This window comes from Homo sapiens, chromosome 16 (assembly GCF_000001405.40).
Source record: "Homo sapiens chromosome 16, GRCh38.p14 Primary Assembly".
Lineage (NCBI taxonomy): Eukaryota > Metazoa > Chordata > Mammalia > Primates > Hominidae > Homo > Homo sapiens.
This window is the reverse complement of record NC_000016.10, coordinates 55,314,877-55,332,033: the sequence shown is the minus strand read 5'-3', so window position 1 is coordinate 55,332,033 and position 17,157 is coordinate 55,314,877. Positions and strand designations below refer to the sequence as shown.

General features: G+C 48.5%; 1 protein-coding gene across 2 annotated transcripts, besides 2 other annotated features; it reads right to left on the bottom strand.

Moving 5' to 3' along the window:
* Positions 1-1,277: 1,277 nt before the first annotated feature.
* Positions 1,278-7,831, bottom strand: IRX6 (iroquois homeobox 6). 2 transcript variants are annotated; one of them, NM_024335.3, is made up of 6 exons: positions 6,898-7,831; positions 5,441-5,698; positions 4,629-4,738; positions 4,141-4,448; positions 2,723-3,334; positions 1,278-1,736 (listed from the first exon to the last, which is right to left on the bottom strand). In NM_024335.3, exons 1-6 carry the CDS (start codon positions 6,940-6,942, stop codon positions 1,729-1,731), a joined length of 1,341 nt encoding a protein of 446 aa, NP_077311.2. In that variant the 5' UTR covers positions 6,943-7,831; the 3' UTR covers positions 1,278-1,728. The 2 variants fall into 2 exon arrangements, with proteins under 2 accessions (NP_077311.2, XP_005256194.1); XM_005256137.4 differs by having other exon boundaries at positions 1,278-1,733.
* Positions 2,994-3,511: an enhancer, noted in NCBI's record as "H3K4me1 hESC enhancer chr16:55362435-55362952 (GRCh37/hg19 assembly coordinates)". NCBI's record gives its function as "activates a minimal SCP1, AML or CMV promoter by ChIP-STARR-seq in naive H9 embryonic stem cells {active_cell/tissue: H9 hESC(naive)}" and the evidence as "EXISTENCE:reporter gene assay evidence [ECO:0000049][PMID:30033119]".
* Positions 5,534-6,034: an enhancer, noted in NCBI's record as "H3K4me1 hESC enhancer chr16:55359912-55360412 (GRCh37/hg19 assembly coordinates)". NCBI's record gives its function as "activates a minimal SCP1, AML or CMV promoter by ChIP-STARR-seq in naive H9 embryonic stem cells {active_cell/tissue: H9 hESC(naive)}" and the evidence as "EXISTENCE:reporter gene assay evidence [ECO:0000049][PMID:30033119]".
* Positions 7,832-17,157: the final 9,326 nt, after the last annotated feature.

The following is a 17,157-nucleotide window of genomic DNA, read 5'->3' as shown; positions in this document are numbered from 1 at the left end:
AGCGAGGGCGACTGGAGGGTCCCTGGGGAGGTTGGGGTTGGGAGCAGCTGTTGCCCAGGAACAAAACGAAAGCAAAGAGGGGTCTCCCAGAGGAAGCGCGGGCGAGTGTTCGGGCGGGCGAGCGGGAACCGAAAAGGGACATTGACCACGATGGAAAGCTGGAGTTGGTCTCCACCACGGACCGCTGTGACCCTGAGCTGTTCACCTGCCCTCCCGTTTGGGCTTAACCTTCTCATCTGAAGAGGAGGTTTGCAGTTTTTGTAAGTCATGATCTCTAAAGTCCCTTCCGACAGCAAAGCTGTCTTTTCCATAGAGAGGAGCTAGGAGGTGGCGCGCTGCTTCGGCTTCCCTAGCACTTCCAACCTCCACATTTCCCCTCATCGTCCTCCAAAGGTTTTCAATCATCCTGCCCAGGAGGCGGACTATGCTCGCCTGGATTTCAGTGACTGATAGTCTGGCCTCCGCGCTGGCCTGGAAGGCCTGGCCTGGCCGGGACCCGGCGTTGGAAACGCAGCTCCCCAGGAATCCAGGCCTTGGGCGCACACCCCAGCTGCCTTTCGTCCTGCCTTCCCGCCTCATTTGCTCTTCGGAGCTCCCCTCTAGGGCACTGCCCCGGGTCCCTGCTTCCCTGCGAGCAGCGGTGCGCTCACTCCCTGGCTAAAGCCAAAGCCACTAGACGCGGGACACGAACGCAGGCAGCCTCCCCCACCCACCATTGCGCGGGCGTCTTTAAATCTCTTACCCCCAACCCGGTCGCTCGACACTCCTAGCAAGGGGGACAAAGACCCCTTCCCTGCCCGTCAGTTCCCATTGGTTGGCCTGTACCGGAAGTGTTTGCTGACACTTTTGATAAAACGGGAAGAATGCCCCCTCTCGCCTCACACCGACCCTGAAAGCTGCCTGACCTCCCCATTAGGTTCAGTTCGATCGGAGGAGCGCGGTCCTCGTCACCCCTCCCCCAGTAAACTTACAACCCAAATACGAACCCGGAAACAGATGCAGTTTCCAGATAAACATCCTGACAAGTCCCACCACTTCCCATGCGCAGGACCCGCGAGGTGGTCAGCTTGGCTCCACGGATTGGTTACGCAGCGGTTAGTCCGCTGAGCTGCAGGCGCCACGGCCTTGTCTGTTACCTTGTCAGTTTCTTTCCCAGCTACTAAAGGAACTGAGGTATGCAGCCCACGCCGCGCTGTCGCAAGAATCCCTGGCCGCAATGCATCTTTGCCTGCACACCGACCTCTCAAGCACCTCTGGCAAAGATAGGCCACACTACATGGGTTCGGACTGATTATTTTTAAGGACACAAGGGCTTAGGAGGGGGAGAAGACGCACAGGGTCCTTATTGGCCGGGTCAGTGATGAAGTTACAAAGTGAGTGGGGTTGGTGGAGGTGAGAGACAGGGGTGAGCAGGAGAGGAAGCCTTGCTGAATCCACAGGAGGAAGAGAGACTTGGTAGAGTCGGTGGGTGGGGCAGCCTCCCAGCCTCCCACTTGGCCTTCCCCAAGGTGCCCTGCCATCTCCCGTGGGGACTGCTAAGGTTCAAGTCGGCCCACCACCCCAGCTCTGCGTGCAAGGACAGCTGCTAGGAGGGTTTCTGTGTGTCTGTCTCTTAGGCAAAGTGAGAGCTCCTGGTCCCTGGCAAGGTCTGGCAGCTTCTTAACCTGGAGATGAATTCGAAACGTGGGGCCCATTTCCAAGATTCTTTCGCAAATCGCAGCCATTGCGCTAACCTGCTGAGAGAGGAAAGGTTGATTAAAACCCAAAGGCTGTTTAGTGGCAATTCTTAGGAAACCTCTGGGTCAGCCATGTCTCTTCTGAAGGCAAGCAAATGGTCTAGAGGCAATTAGCTTGCCAGAGGTAATGTTTGGATCCGTTGCGTAAATTCAAATAACAGTGTAACCCACTTTTCTAAGCCAGCAGCTAATCCTGAGAGAAATTACTACAAAGAGCAGAATCTGACAGTAATTGCTGGAGGCTGCCTCATGCTTGGGGAATGTCCCTTTGTGGGATGAAATTCCCTTCCACCAGGTCCTTAACACAGTGAAAGAACCAGCCAGCATCAGGGGACACTGATTGGCAGTCACTGGCCTGCCTGGGGATGAGCCCTGGGTAGAGTGCTCTCTAAGGACAGTACCAATCTGGGGCCTGAAGCTGCTGACCGCAGGGGCATGTCTACAACTTTCCAGGGGTTTTGGTGGGACACAGACAGGGCTGCAAGCTGGACTTAAGCACTGACCTTAAATCTGTGGTGTGCGTCTGGCCCACAGTCTTAGACTTCTCTAAAAGCCCTGGTGCCTGCCCAACCCTAGTAAACTCTCTGAGCAGCACAGCAGGGACCAGCGAGTCTCCTCTGAAAGGCAGGCAGGGGACAAGGGCGTTTGTGCTAGAGGAGCATGGTGATGCACACCTGGTGGATTTGGCAGTACACTGGACCACACGAATGCAGAGATCCTGGTTGTCCATCTCTCGAACGGCTTTCTAAGTGATTCTAGGTAAATTACAGTCTGCCTGTGAGTTTATTATTATTTGACTTTTAAATAAGGGAGTACTAGAACCTATCTCTACGCTTCCGTCTGAAAGAGCGCTGTAAAGCAATCTCCCGTCAGTTCTGTGGGAGACCTGGGCAGACTGGAATGGCAGAGGGTGTGCAATTGCCGGGCGGGGCGGTAGGTGGGTGTCTTTTGCATAGATACTCCCAGCGCCGCTGGGGGCCCACTACCTTCTGCTCCAGACGGGTACTGGCACTGCACTACAGGCTCGCTCCTCCGCGGGCACGGCGCACAGTTCAGCGGTAGTCCCTGCAGGGCAAACTTGGGGTTTCCAAAGGCTTTGGGTATGCAGGAAGACTCGTCGCACGCGGAGTCTCTGGGGACTGAGAGTCGCCGGGCAGAGGCAGGAGGCTGTCCAGGAATCATACGGCACTCAGGACTTCGTGGCCTAGGCCGGGCTGGGGGTGCACCTTCAACAGCGCTGGCTGTCGCGGTGTGCGCCAGAGACCAGATGCGCGGTTTCTCCAAGCATGGGTAGTGCATGGTCAACCTAGGGCTGCCTGTCTCCGCCGAGAGGAAGTCAGCTTCTTCCGATCCGGAAGGGTCATTGAAGGAGAAGCGGGGCGCAGCCAGGCCGCACTCCCTGCGCTCCAATCGGCCCTCTCGAGCTGCAGCGCACGGCCCAGGCAGTGACTGCGCGCCCTTTCGGAACTCCGTCAGCCTGTCCCCAGCTGTGGCCACTACCTCCTCGTCTTCAGCTTCCTCCTCCTCCTCCTCCTCTTCCTCCAGGTCTTCCAGGTCACTCAGCCGGAGCCCCCGGGCCTCCTGGCTAGCAGTAACTTCTGCAGGAAATCAAGAGCGAGTGAGAAAAGCCCCAGGGCCCAAGGGAAATCCGAGGAATGTCCATCCCCGAGAAGCTTTTAGCAAGAAGCGCCCTGCACTCAGGGCATCCTCAGTGTAATTCACCAGACCTGCCGTACCACCCCTTGCATTTGCCCAGGGTTGTTGGCCACCTGTCCTTGGGAAAGAATTTCTGCCCCAGCCCTGCAACCACCCTTTAGCGGACTCCTCCTCTAGCGAGCAGTGCCAAGCCAAGGAAATGCCACTTGGCGCTGCCTGAGTTCTGGATCTCAGTTTCTCAATTGTGAAAAACCAGGGGGCAGTTTTTACTCGATTTCAACATCTACAAGTGGCTGCTGTTATATCATTTAATTCAGCAAATATTTACTGAGCACCAGCCATCATTTAGGTATTAGGTGTGTAGGGCATATGGCAGCAAGTAAGGCTTCTGGTGGAGCTGCCATTCTAGAGAGGGAAGTTGGGTATGTAAACTTTCTCACAGTGACAAGTATGGCAAAGGAAATCCAAACAGGCTGGCAGAACAGAAAATAACTGGGAGGCTATTTTGGCTTGGGTGAGGCAGGAAGAACTTTAGGAGGTAACACTTTGATGTCAAGAAGAAGCCGGTTGTGTAGAGAATTACAGGTAGAAGGCAGTGCACAGGCTAATGCTCTGAGACAGGCAGGGAAGTGCAAGGGTAAGTCTGAGGACCTTCCAGAAAATCTACCCTACAGGGCAGCTTTTGAAAGACCAAACTGCTTGATGACTTGTAAAACCCTTAAGGTGGGGTGGTGAACGTTTTCAGTACCTTTGGTGTCAGCAGTTAGGCAGCCTAGTGAGTCCTCCTCTCCTCCCTCTGCCTTCCTCTCCTCCCCACCTTTGTTCTTGGGCGCCCATGTCATTTTGTTCTCTTTCTTGAGGCGCCGGCGTGCGTTGGCGAACCAGGTGGACACCTGGGTGAGGGTCATCTTGGTGATGATGGCCAGCATGATCTTCTCACCCTTAGTGGGGTAGGGGTTTTTGCGGTGCTCGTTGAGCCAGGCCTTGAGTGTACTGGTGGTCTCCCGGGTCGCGTTCTTTCGGCGACCGGCGCCACTCAATTCCACTGCGCCATACCTGTGGGGGAGAACCTGGCTCACATTATAGAAGAGGAACAAGGAACTGCAGGCAGAGGACAGTCTGTGGCGTGGAAGTGTGGTTCAGCTCCCTCCCTCTCCCCTGCCGCCATCCACCCTACCTTGGCAGTGGGGGAGGAAAGACTCACAGTGCCAGTCACCAAGGCCCTTCACTCCTTACCGTTCATATTGGTACTGCCCCAGAGTCCGCTCATAGGGATAATAGGCTCCTGGTTGTGCCAGGCTGGATGTAAAACTCCCTGCAGCCTCCTTAAATTCATACTGTGGATTCTAGAGGGAGAGGAAAAGAGAATTCAGGAGTACAGTTGGGGAGGGGGCACATGGGGTGGTAGCTAAGGGTCTGGTTCAAATCCCAGTATGGCCACTGGTACTGGCCGTGTGACCTTGGGCACAGTTGCTTAACCAGTGGCTTAACCACTCTGTGCCTCAATTTCTTCCTTGGTAAAATGGGGATAATAGTACTTATAGGTTATTGAAGAAGACCATGCTGGCAGAATGCTTGGCAGAATCCCTGGTGCAGAATAAGCAGTAGTTAAATATTAGCTGCTGTTATTACTGTACCACTTGTCCCTCCCTCCTTTCCCCCCTTACTGCCCCCCACCCCCCGCCCCCTGCCCCACAACACACACCAGCTGGGGCACTTCCTGCTTTAATCTTCTTCAGGAGCTTTTCTCTGACCCTTTGTATCTCTGTGACATTGGGCAAAGTATTTGAACTCCTGTGCACCTCTATTTCCTCATTCTTAAATTGAGATTAATGATTACTTGCCTACCTCACAGAATTAATAGAAGTATAAATGTTTTCTAAACAGTATGAAGTTCTGCAAACTGTAAGGTACTGTATTTTTTTGTCCTCCTTATACACAGTCCTAACCATTTCCTTTCCTCGGGAGGTGTGGGTCTTTCCTTGACTTTCTCTGGATTTCACCTGTCTCTACTGCTCACTCCCCTGGGACTCCACCCCTGTACTCACCAGTGCCCCATACAGTGAGGGGGGCTCTGGGCTATAGGGCAGGTAGCCAGGGTAGCTCTGGGCAGCTGCAGCGGCCGCATAGGGTGCTCCATAGATGCCCAAGGCGGCGCCCAGCTCCGGTCGCGCACTGCCCAGCAGTCGACTATCGTAGGGTGCGCAGCAGAGAGCGGGCGCTGGGGTGGAGCCTGATGCCACATCTGAGACAGAGCGTTGGGTAGATTCGCAGCATGTGGTGCTGGAACTTGCCGACGCCAGAAACTATAGGGGCAAGAAAGAGGGCACTGGAGGTCAGAGACCCCCCCCCCACCCCCGCCCCCGCTCCCGCTGAAGGGAGCTAGAAACAAAGAAGAGAAAATCAGATAATCAGATTGCTCCTTCATTCATTCCTTCATTATGCATTAACTAAATGCCACCTGGGCTGAGCATTCTGTTAGGTGCTGGGACGGGAATTATAAATTAACCAAACTGCCCTTATAGATGCTCCTACTCCATTGCTAAGGCCCCAGAGCCCCAGGAGGCCGGGAAAATGTGAACATTTTGAAACCGGAATTAAAGACACCAAACCCTCTGCTCCCTTCCCTACCCTCCTCCCAGGATCCTGCAAAGGCGGAGCTAGAAGGTGGCCTTAGAGACCATTATTAACGTCTCATTCCTGCTCCCATTCTATAGATTGGGAGTGGATAATCAGAGAGAGTGTGAGACTTGTCTAAGATCACACAGCAGGTCAAAGGTCGAGCCGGCACTAGACAACAGGAAAATACACTCAGAACTCTAGAGAAAAGCTGGAGAACAGTGGAGGGGGTGTCCGCAGAACTTTCCCAGGAAACCCTTGTCATTGCACAACATCCACTTTGGTTTGGAAAATCGAGGGAACCGGAGAGCTTGGGCCCGCCCAAGGAAGGGGTAGGAGAATAGCCGAGGTCAACAAATCAACAACAATATGGTGAGATGGACAGCGTTGTAGCCTACAAGTTCTTTCTTTCTCTTTCTTTTTCTTTCTTTCTTTCCTTCTTTCTTTCTTTCTCTTTCTTTCTCTCTCTCTCTCTCTCTCTCTCTCTCTCTCCTTCCTTCCTTCCTTCCTTCCTTCCTTCCTTCCTTCCTTCCTTCCTTCCTTATTTCTTTCTTTCTTTTCTTTCTTTCTTTCTCTCCCGGCCACCTCAGACTTCTGTATAGGAGGAGGCCTGACTGGGAGATCCCTGTGATCCCACCCACCTCACTGAGCGCGTGGTCAGAGTGCTCATGTTTCAGGTCACAAGATTTTCCAGCGTGCACTCCGGGGTGAAACGTTCTCATTTAGGGACTGGGGATGTCAGAGGAGGCTGTGACACATTACCCTGGTCCTTGCTCCTTCTGGCTTCCCCCAGAACACAAGAGGAGGATGATCAGAGGCAGGCGCCGTGCACTAGGCACTCCCTCCACCCAGTCTGTCCCCTATCCCCCATAGAGGCGCCTCTTACCTGGGAAGCGCCGCGGTACGGGTGTCCAAAGTGTGGGAAGGACATGGTGGCTGTCCCTGGCCCGTCTCTCTCTTCCCTGTCGAGTTCCCGTCTCAGCCCAGCTGTTCCGCGCCCCCAGCAGTGAGGTGTCTCAGTTCCTTACACCGCTGCGGATGCCCAGCGCCGGTTCCTTCGCCTGGTTGGCCCCAGTGGAGGCAGAGCCGAGGGCAGCCCGGCTGCCGAGCCCTGCGCTCCGGAAGGCGCCCCTCCGGCCCGTGGGGTCCGGAAGACAGAAGGGCCCATGGATGGGCAGGGGAAGGAAGAAGATGCGGGTTCCCAAAGGCGCGTGGTGGCGAGGTGAGGCGCGGCGCGGCGCGGGGCTGTGAGGCTCCGGAGGTGTCCCAGTCCAAGGTGGCCAGAGGCTCAATGTGACGTCACGGTAATCCCGGGCCGCCAGACGGGACCCCGGGCCCCGGGACCCTGGGCCACCAAGCGTGCCAAGCGCAGCCAGCCCGTGCGCGCGCGCGCACTCTCACCCACACTCACACTTGCTCCGGGAGGTTTGTGCAGCTGGCGAGGAACGTCAAAAACCCTGACCCTCTCTGCTCGGCGCTGAATCCTACCCCTTTTCGCCTGGAGCTCACGCGCGCGCGCACACACACACAACCTCTCCAAATTACCCGGGAGAAGTAGGAGAAACGCCTCCCTCTGAGCCGCGCAGGCCCCGGGCGCAGCGCGCTCACCTCCTCCCCTGCGGCCCGGAGGAGGCGAGAGGCAACCGGGGCGGCGAGGGAGGAGAGAATACAAAAGAAGAGACAGGAGAAAAGTGGGGGAGAAAGGCAAGAGGGAGAAGGAGGAGGGGAGAGGGGAGACAGGAGTCTGAGTGAACAGAGGCGCGTGGGGGAGGGGGAGGGAGCTGGGGTGGGCGAAGGCTGGGCGGAGGCTGAGCACTGGCAGGTGGAGGAGAGCAGAGGCCCGGGGGAGAAGCCTCCAGCCCGGTTCCTCCGCCCCTGCGCTGAAGTAAAGTTTGTTCACGCCACAGGCCCGGCTCTCGTTGGAGCAGCTCCGGGCAGCGTCGGTGGATCCCACTGGCCCGCCCATCTTTGTCCTCGGGGATCTGGTTCCCCGCCTCAGCCTCCCCAGGACTCGGGCTAGATTCCGGCTCTCCAAGCCCTGGCCTGGCCCAGGGCCTTGACCTTGGAGCTTCTCTGCAGCTGCCTGGTCCTCGAGTAGGCCGGATAGCGCCCCCTCGAGGCCGAGGTTCGGGATCCCTCAGATTCCGTCGGGAAACTCGCCAGGTCCGATCCCTGGCAGCCGCAGGCTGCTTGCTAAGATCCCTGGGCATCTCCTCCGAAGGCAAGGCTTGGCTGCCTCGCGCGCGCGCCTCCCGCAGTGGCCGCGGGGCAGCCAGGGAGCCTGAAGAAGGCTCCCGGTCCGGGCTGCAGCCCCTGCGCTCCGCTGGGGGTGGCGCTGGAGAGCCGCAGTGGAGCGCTCCGGGAGGGCGGCCCATTCCCTGCGCTCCTCCTGGACGCCCGGCTGGGCCCAGCGGTCTGACCACCCCCTCACTCCATCCCAGGGGTCTTCAAAGGGGCACTGATGGGTGGGCGGCGGCAGGGGTGGGGGAGGCTCGTTGGTACCCAGGAAGGGGCTGCCTCCTCTAGGCCTGGCCCCGAGACATGGAACCTCCAATTTGCGAGCACGGTAGACTGCACATCTGAAGGCTCAGTACTCTGGCCCCAGCTGCCCTTCTGAGAGCCTCCAACCCGCGACGTCTAGGGGTGAAAAGGGACTGTCGGTCTGGTAGGGGAAGGTCTTCGGTGGGCACTGCAGGAATCCAGTGGGATTTGCAGGCCAGAAACCTCAGAAAGCCTTGCCTTTCACTTACCGGGGTCACCGCGCTTTATACTTTTAAAAGCGCTTTATACTTTTAAAGTTGCACCAGGCTCTTGCTGCAACTCCTCCAAGGAGCCATAGGGGTTGGTTCAAGGGCCCAGTTTTATTTTCTAGTTGAAACGCGAGAGCCTGTGGCCCAGAAGATAGCAACGGCTCTGGGTTCTTGTATGAGGCGGGGCAAGGTCTGGGGTCCTGGACGGGGCGTACCTCAACTCCAAGTTTGCCACTAGCACCTTACACTGATCTCTTTAGCATGACATCTCTAGGTCCCCACACCCCGTTTTAAAAACACATTCTGCAGAATGCTCAAGGAGCTTAAGCCACAAACCAGAGACTCCTCTGCTTAAGAGATTGTTAACATGAGGACAAGCTCCATTCTAAATACTAACAAACACAGCTACTGCTGCTGCTGCTGCTGCTGTTACCTTGGAGAAACCTTGCGTTCATCCAGGGAAACTCCTAGTTAGAAAAAGAATTATAGTCCTCACCAGATTGACTTAGTGATAAAAATTCACAGTAATAGATAGATCCCTTGATTTTTCAAAATGCACTTTGGAACTATCCACACATTTGCAGCTTGGATACATCTATGCTATTTTTTTAAAGTAAGAATTGGAGAGTATTCATTAAATTCATCCCTTGGGGAAGATTACTGCTAATTAATTAATTGCAAACATTTCCAGAGGGAAGGTATGTCAATTGTAAAGTAATAAAATTAGATAGTAGAAATACTGACTCAGCAACTTCGATTGCCCATTTGTTCCTAAGCAGAATTTTTTTTAAAAATTTTATGACAGAAAAATGGGGCTGGTGGTGGAGAAAAAGCATTAGCCCTGTCCCTTGGCGATATGGTTGCAAAGGAGAAACTACCATATAGGAATTATTGATTTTTAGCTGATTTATAAGACCTCTGTTTTATCAATGCTGTGTGCAGGGCCTCCAGGCCTACTTCTTGTCTTTGCTCTCTAGGATTTGAGAAAAGCAACACAATTTTTTAAAAAGAAAAGAGGATGTTGAGGAACAGTGGGGAAGAAAATTGGGAAGTAGGACTATGAAGATATCTTGGCATTTTTCTTCTTCTGGAAAGACAAGCGAACAAACAAAAGAGCAGGTTTTATGTTAAGACACCTTTTCTATTGTCCTCAAAGTTGCTTGATGGTTTTTTGCAGCTTCTATCAGAATACTTCCCAGGGAGGAAGGCCTGCCATGTCTCCTCCGGCTTCCCAGCCTTGCAAGACCTTGATTTAACATTTCCTTCCCAGGGAGAGGCTGCACCCACGGTAAACCTCCCCTGTTTTGCTGACATTTGATTGTTACCACCTTGAGCATTTAATGGGGTTTCCTAAAAATGGTTTTTATGAAATGTGCCTACTCTTCTTGTTATTTTGGGACCCTCGTAACAAAACAATGCCAGTGGGTTAAGCCAATATCAACCTCTGTCTGGCAGAAACCTCAGGTGAGAAGATGTCTGTTTCTTGGAAAATCTGATTGAGGGGAAGCTGCAGTGGAATTTGCTTTTGTCCTCCTGACGGTTCACAGACTCCCACTTCAGCAGCCTTGGGCTTCTCCACCCCGGCAGCTTTTCATTGCTTTGTTCAGCACTGATTAATTTAGTTTCGGAGAAAAAGCCCCAATTGTATATGTGTACACATAGAATTTTATTGAAGCAAGTAAATAAATCCATCAAATATAGACCCTCCCAGTTATATTTAAGGGAGTCATTCCACCTAAAGTATTTTAAACAAATGATAGAGATTCTTTTGTTGTACTGTGCAACATGCCTGATAGTTCCTCTAGCTGCTCATTAAAACAAATGTGAAACAAATTAAACAATCAAAAGCCTATGTGTACCAGAGAGTACTAATCCACATTGTTTATTTGAAGCTCTTATTGCTTTGCTTCAAATGCACTGAAGTTCCTGAGCAGGCGGAGTAAAGTATGTATGTTTCACAATAAGCTTGCATGCAGGTACCACAAAAAACAAACAAACAATAAAAGAGGAAAAACAAACTGTATTTCATTATTTTGGGTTAAAAAAGTCTATGATTTTCTAATGATTTATAAAGACAGCAGATTTTACAGGGGGAAATATAACAACCTGGAAATGCCCCAAATCAACTTCAAATGCCTCAAATCCCAGATGGAATGAGCGAGTACACGAACATAATAACAGAGTTGAAGATGTGCTAAATTATATTTTTTAAGTATGGATTTTTTAGTGACTGTTTTTGAACTGAGAAGAATGAAATTTCCTCAAATCTATGCATGAATGAACAAGTGCATCTGGACAGATGCATCTATAATTTATACTGATCAGTCACCGCAGGTCTCATGGAGTAAAGCCGAAATGAACACTAATTGTTTTGACGGAAGTAGTGTGCATGGCATCTGATTGTGAAATGCAGTGAGTCCCTGCCTTGCCTGAATACATATTGTCAACAGCAACTCTGGCATCAGGAGGGGAAAATAAAAAGACAATAATTCCCAGATGAGAGTGTTGAAGCCTCTTGTCAAAAAGGTGCCAAATAGAAAGAAAGAATTAACTTCTTCGGGATAAAGTAAAAAATAAGACTGAATGAAGAGGTCTTGGTTTGACAGCATTGTACTTCAGTTTAGAGTTAAAATTAATAAAGTGTGTTAATAATAGTAAAATTCTGTAGCATTTGTTGAGTGCTTGGGAGCTTTCCTAAACACCTCTGCTTTATCTTATTTAAGGCTCATGATAAGGATATTGGAGAGGTGAGAAGCAAGTCTAAGATCACACAGCCAAGTAAGTGGCAGAGGAAGGATCAGACTTCAGACCTCCTGATTCTGGGTCTTTTCACAGAACCATATTTCAAACATATAGAAAGCCAATCACAGCCAGGAGATATTGCTAACTCCAGTTGGACTGTGTGAATTCACATAGTGTGTGCCATGATGATGCAGTATAATTTAGCAGAGAAAAAATCTTAAAGAGATGTCACTGTAAGAAAATTAAGTTCAGGGTCTATACCCCCTGTTTGATGTGACTGTGTATTATGAAAGAGCTTATGTAGTAATTGGGAGTTTTAGAAATTTGGTGCGAATCATTAATTGAATGGCAAAGAGCAAACAGACCCAGCCATGACTGATAAAAACATACAAAAAACCAAAATAGCACCACTCCCCTGCCGAAAAAAAAATCTTCAAAAAAAAAAAATTCCAGCCAAAAGATAATGTCTCTATTTCTACAATGGTTTAAAAACAACTCCTTGAAATTAGTTACGGACTATTTTCAGGAAGAGGAATTTTTAAAAAATCTGGTTTTGGCATCAGCAGGTGGGGAGATTTGCTGCATTAACTTCTCATTTTCAAAGCAGTTTTTATGTATAAAAATTCTTGATTATTTTTATCCTGTAGATGACGGCATCTTTCTAATGAAAAGCTCAAGGCATCTGATGTGTTTTCAAGGAATTAAACTTTAAAGTAAACAACAGATGTATGGATTTGAAAACCAGGGAACAATTTTTGAAGCCTAAGTCTTTCGAAAAGAAATGCATGTAAGAAATTAAGACTTTAAAGGAATAACACATAGGGACTCACCGGGATAAGATGCTATGCCCCTTTCTCCCTATGTGATAGGACCTAGAAATGGTCCTTCAGTATACAATTAGGAAATAGAATCATGGCCTAGACAATCAAGAAAGGGAGCCATGGTGTTGCTGGCTTCAGCTACAGGAGGGGCTGTATGTTGTTGCAAACAGCCCTCTAACTGAAGCATTGCTAACATGGAGTTTATAAGGATATTTTGTCATCTTCCCCCTAAAGGATTTCACCACTGTAGACGTGAAGCTTTCAATTAAAACATGAGCAGCTTCCAGCTTTATACATTTTCATCGTATTAGCAGCATTTCCGTAGAATTCTCTTCCCCATGCTTTCCTCCTACTTTTAAAGCTGAGCATTAGAACTGGCCGGGATCGTTCTTCTCTGTGCCACCTGGGGCCCACTACTTTAGGGAAGCTGGGACCATTTGTAATGTCACGTGCTAGCCATAGGTAATTTATAACAAATCTTCACAAATCAATAAAAATATGGAAAGTATATCATTTTTAAAGAAAAGAGAGAGAGAGAGAGAGAGAGAGAGAGAAACACATGAGACATGCCCATTAAGAGCATAGCTGTTCTAATACCTGCATGTCTGCTTAGGTCTGCAATTAAAAACATTCTGATAATAAATCTCCTTGCAGTCTCTTTTAATGCTTTTAACTTTCCTGAAGGTTCAAATTGGCATCCCAAAAATGTGCCAGGACTTTCACAAGGTATTTTATAGACTCATAAATAAATATGGCAATTAATCTATGCTATATTTCTTTCATATTTGATGACAATTTATGATGGCATTCACCCACTCGGTGCACAAAAACTCTAATGCACTTAAAATCGGATTTCAAACCAAACATTTTATGGGAAAATATAGTATTGATCATCCATTTAAAGACATCATGAGGATAATTCATAACCTGTTGTAAAAAAAAGATCTCATGAGGACCCTACAGATGAGTGGGGCGGTAGAACAGTCTATTCATAAAACCAGAGCTATTGGATCTGCTCCTCTTGTTTTCTTCATCTATCTTTGAGTTTTCCAGCACTGATTACTTTTGCATGTTCCTGTTTTATAAAAAAAATTTCTTCCATGACATTTTTCATAGTGACAGAGGTTGTGGAATTTTACAGTGAGTATTTTCTATTGCAATTTTCTGTTGAGATTCTGACTGCAGAGAGTTTCAGAGGCAATAGAAGATGTTTCTGTTACTTTGGAGTCAAAGCTATCATATGGTCATCATCATCCTTATTTGCTGTTGACAGATTGTGGTGGTTTAAAGCAATCTCACACCCCTGACAGACTGTGGTTCTAGAATACTACGAATGCTTGAATATATTTTGTGCATGTACAGTATGAGGGAGTCATAAGAAAATGAGAGAATACAAGGATGCTAGCCCTTCTCTTCAAGTAGCACACAGACTGTCTGGAAAGAAAGACACGTATCATTCATTCAACAGACATTTTTTGAGTGTCTACTAAATGCCAAGCTTGGTTCTGGGAGGTGAGGATTTAGCACTGAATAAAAGCAGGTTCCTGCCCTCAGCAGGCTACAGCTCATGAGTTAAACATTTTCAGATCATCCTGGAATCACTTATCTAACACCATAATAATTTGGGAAAGGGGCTTAATGTTGATGGAATACGCAAAAGGTTCTAACCACAAGGTTGAGCACTTTTAAATTATGTATAATTTACCCTTCATTCATCCCTTTACCAAACATCTACTGAGTGCTTGTTATTAAAGAACACTGAGTTAGCAATTGGAGATTTAGCGTCAGCAAGACAAAATCTTTGCACCTGTGGACTTTGCAATTTAACTATATTTTCTACCTAAAAAGTGGTTATGATTTGTTTCATTTTATAGAACTTAGTCTATGAGAGAGAAGCTTGCCCAGTGTAATAGAGCAGTATTGACAATCTAGGCTTTGAGCTCAAGCTGCTGGCTTCCAAGTCTTCAGAAAATAACACGTTTCACATTAAGTGCTTAATTGCCAAGATAATGTGATTTCAAAAATCATGACCTCACCTAACGTGTAGTTGATCTGAGCTGCCATGATCCTTCTATATCACATGGTTGGCTTTCTCTGCCCTTTTATGTCTATGCAATACCAAATATCTGTATAGAAAATGACAAAGTTGGGGCATTCAAATAGATGTTACAGTCTTCTTGACACCAATGCCTTTGGACGCTCTGCTGATATTTTACACATTTACCTTCACCTAGTGCCACAGTTAACGTCCAAATGACCATGCAAATACACCTCTCATAAATATTGGATGATGGGGCTGGAGGAGGGAGTATAGCCAGGTTGGAATTTTGGAACATCAGCATTTCAGTTGCCTGAAATCTTCTCATATTACCTGTTACATGTATAACACTTTCATAACTTGCTCTCTGCTACTCTCCCTGTCACTCTGGGGGTTATATGGGGCAGGTTTTCTCACCCCCTTTTCACAGATGAGCAGCTGAGGTTCAGAAGGGTTAAGCCACTGGCTCAGGTCACATAACTGATTAGCATAAGAGAAAACCCAGCAAACTTTTGGTGTTTGGATTGCTGTCTGTCCTCTTACGGACTTAAGCACCTTTTTCAAGAAAGCATAAAGAACTTAAGAAAAGTCTGATCTTGGAGTTTGACACAGACTTTGGGTGGCAGCCCAGCAGCATTTTCCACCTCTGGGAAGGGGGCACCTTGCCTCTTTCATTTTGGTTTGGAGACTGGATTTCCCATCACAGTTTTAATGCCACATGCACTTCTGCTTTCTGGTTGTTCAGGTTTGCTCCAACCACAGGTCCAAAAGAGAAAGAGAGTTTGCAATGTTCATAACAATTACATAGGCACAACGCTAAAGCTGAAGTATTTAATCAATGGGATAAATTCACCAATGAGATCTTGGTGTGAGTCTCTGCCTGCATTTCTGAAGCCCTCTGCCCTGAAGCTGACATCTTTCAGAGGTGGGTAGCTAGGTTTCCTCCCAGGCCCATGCTGCGCTGAGTCTGCAGAGATGGAGGCATTGGGAATCATGTCTATCTCATGGCCAGGAGAAAATGAACTTGACAGAGACAGCATGAAATACAGGAGCGGGATTAGACTGTCAGTGTAGGCCGGAGAACATAAACTATTTCCTGTGTCACTCTTAGGCTCGAGGGCAGATGTAGAGCAGAGGGGAAACCTGCAACTATAATTATAAAATAGAAATTTATACATATAAATAAAGGAAAGGCGGAGAGTGGATATTAGCTACTAAAACTCTTTTTACATTATAAACACCACAGGGATATGAAAAAAGTAGTGTGGGGATTAAGGGCATCTTTTTGCTTTGGGACTAATTTATTACTCTAGATTATGCAGTTAAAGGGAGAAAGGGAAAACTGATACTTGGTTGTTTCTCTGTAAAAGTTAAATGTGAATTATGGGAGGGTCCTGCCCCTGGCTGTAAACATGCAATGGTGAAGAATAAGGCCAAGGGTTGAAGGGAGCAAAGCCCTGGTCTGGGAGACAGAACTCTGGAATCTTGCCCTGGCTCTGCCTCTGATTGCCTGGCAGGCTTTGGACAAGTCTCTTCCCCTCTGGGAGCCTCAGCTTACTCATCTGCAAAATGGAGACGTTTAATTCAATGATCTACAAAGGCCACTTTCTTTTCCAGGACCATAAACCCCTTCTCCTAACTTTAAATGCAGTCTTTCCATAAAGTTATTTTTACTATTGTTGGTGCATCAGAATCTTTGAAAAGCACAGATACCTAGTCTCACCCTCTGAGATTCTGAGCAAGCCTGCCTTGGGACCCAGAAATCTGTATTCAATGAAAACAGGAAATAAAAGTAGAACATGCACATGATGAAAAGTCAACAACCTGTGGGAGATGTGGCTGGCTGTCCAGCTGATACCTGCTCCCTGGTCTTTCCTTGCTAACAACACCTTCATGTTGTCCGGCATGGCTAAGTGCAGTCATGGCCTCCTGCTCCTGGGTTTCTGGCATCTTCTGCTCAGGGGAGAGAAGCATGCTATGTGACCCAATTCTGCTCCATGAACCTCGGAGGAAATCTGAGTGGGAGATTCTGAAAAAGCATTTGTTTTCATAATAGAAGAGGACAGAGGCAGTGGTGTCACCTCCACCTTCTTTTGAATATGGCCATGATAACTAAAGCATTCATTAGTTCAACAATGTTTATTGAGCACTTACTCTGTACCTGGTAGGGTTTTAAGGTGCTGGGATATGGCTGAGAACAAAACAAAGTCCCCATCCGCACAGAGCTGACATTCTAGAACAGAAGATAGACAATAAACAAGGTACACAGGCAAAATACATGGATGTTGGATGAAGAAGAATCCCATGGAGAAAAAAATAAAACAAAGAAGGAGAGTTGCTATGACAGTGAGGCCAAGATAATTGCAGGAAAGTAGCCCTGATACCAAGGAGACAATAAACCACTACTTCAGGACTTCTAGTTATTTAAGACAAATAAACTGGTTTTGTTTAAGTCTCTGTTAATTTGTTTTTCTTTACTTACAGCTGAATGAATTCCTGAGACCGTGTGTAGGAAGGTGCAAAGAGACAAATAAGTCATCTGATTATTTCATCCCCACTCCCCAGAGGCATGGACTCCGAACAGTTTCTTGGCTGCCTTCCAGAATTTTCTATGTTAATAACATAAATATAAGTTATACATAGGAAATCTCTCTCTCTCTCTCTCTCACACACACACACACACAAACACACACACGCACACACACATAATGGCAGCTTGGTGGTTGGGAGCCTGATGGAGGCAGCTGATACAGTATAGCATAGTATATGGACAGCCTGATTAGTGGCCCCACCAC